The sequence below is a fragment of the Homo sapiens genome, chromosome 3, assembly GCF_000001405.40.
Source record: "Homo sapiens chromosome 3, GRCh38.p14 Primary Assembly".
Lineage (NCBI taxonomy): Eukaryota > Metazoa > Chordata > Mammalia > Primates > Hominidae > Homo > Homo sapiens.
This window is the reverse complement of record NC_000003.12, coordinates 5,767,081-5,767,995: the sequence shown is the minus strand read 5'-3', so window position 1 is coordinate 5,767,995 and position 915 is coordinate 5,767,081. Positions and strand designations below refer to the sequence as shown.

Here is a 915-nt window from a genome sequence, read left to right as displayed (position 1 = left end):
TTCAAGATCCCTGCATCCTTATCTATCCCTGGAACCTAAGAATATAGTTGCATTATATGGCAAGAGGGACTTTGGAGATGGAATCAAAGTTACAGGTCTGAAATTAGGAATGTTATCCTGAATTATTCCAGGGAGCCCAATGTAGTCACATGGCCCTTTCAGAGTGAGAAGGGCCAGCTAGAAAAAATAAAAAAAGCACTGACAGAAAAAGGACCAAAAAGAGGCTGGAGAGATTGGACACTTGGAGGAGCTTGACCCGCCATTGCTGGCTTTGAGGACACAGGCCCAGGGGCAGAGAGAGAAAGAGAACAATTTCTATAGTTGTGATCTTGGGATACCACCGTGCCACTCAATGGGCACACGCCTTCAGGGAACCTGAATCTGGTGCTCATGAGTGACTCCCAGGCCCTAAGTAACTCCTATTATATGAGCTTCTTGTTACACTGAGTGTAGTGTAGGAGTATGACCTCAGCATTTAAAGAGACATGTTTTCCAGAAAAAACTATGGCCCTCAAGTATAAGCCAACTCCATCTGCTGGCAATCAGATAAAGAAAATATGACTCATCCCAATACTTAAGAAAAAGACAGCTATCTTGAGCTACACATTGCTTATATTTTATAACAAAGTGCCTGCTAAAAAGCTTCAAAAGGTAAATCAAATAAATTTTTGCCTTAAAACCTAATCTCAACTAAAAGTGATTCCACTCTGAAGATAAATGATCAGGGAGAACAGTATCTCTTATTTACAGAAATCTTCAACAACAAACAGCAAACATTAGCTTAAGAAAAATTCAATTATTCCTGTTAAAGTCTAATAGAGATACAGCTGATAGATTCACCAGCTGCCAAGAATTAATCTCGACCTGAGATCTCTTTCAAACACACCCACAGCCAAGCTGCTAGGCTCCCAGGAC

At 40.8% G+C, this 915-nt stretch overlaps 1 annotated feature.

Moving 5' to 3' along the window:
• Positions 360–654: an enhancer, noted in NCBI's record as "tiled region #12048; K562 Activating DNase matched - State 5:Enh". NCBI's record gives its function as "activates a minimal TATA promoter and a strong SV40 promoter by Sharpr-MPRA in K562 cells {active_cell/tissue: K562}" and the evidence as "EXISTENCE:reporter gene assay evidence [ECO:0000049][PMID:27701403]".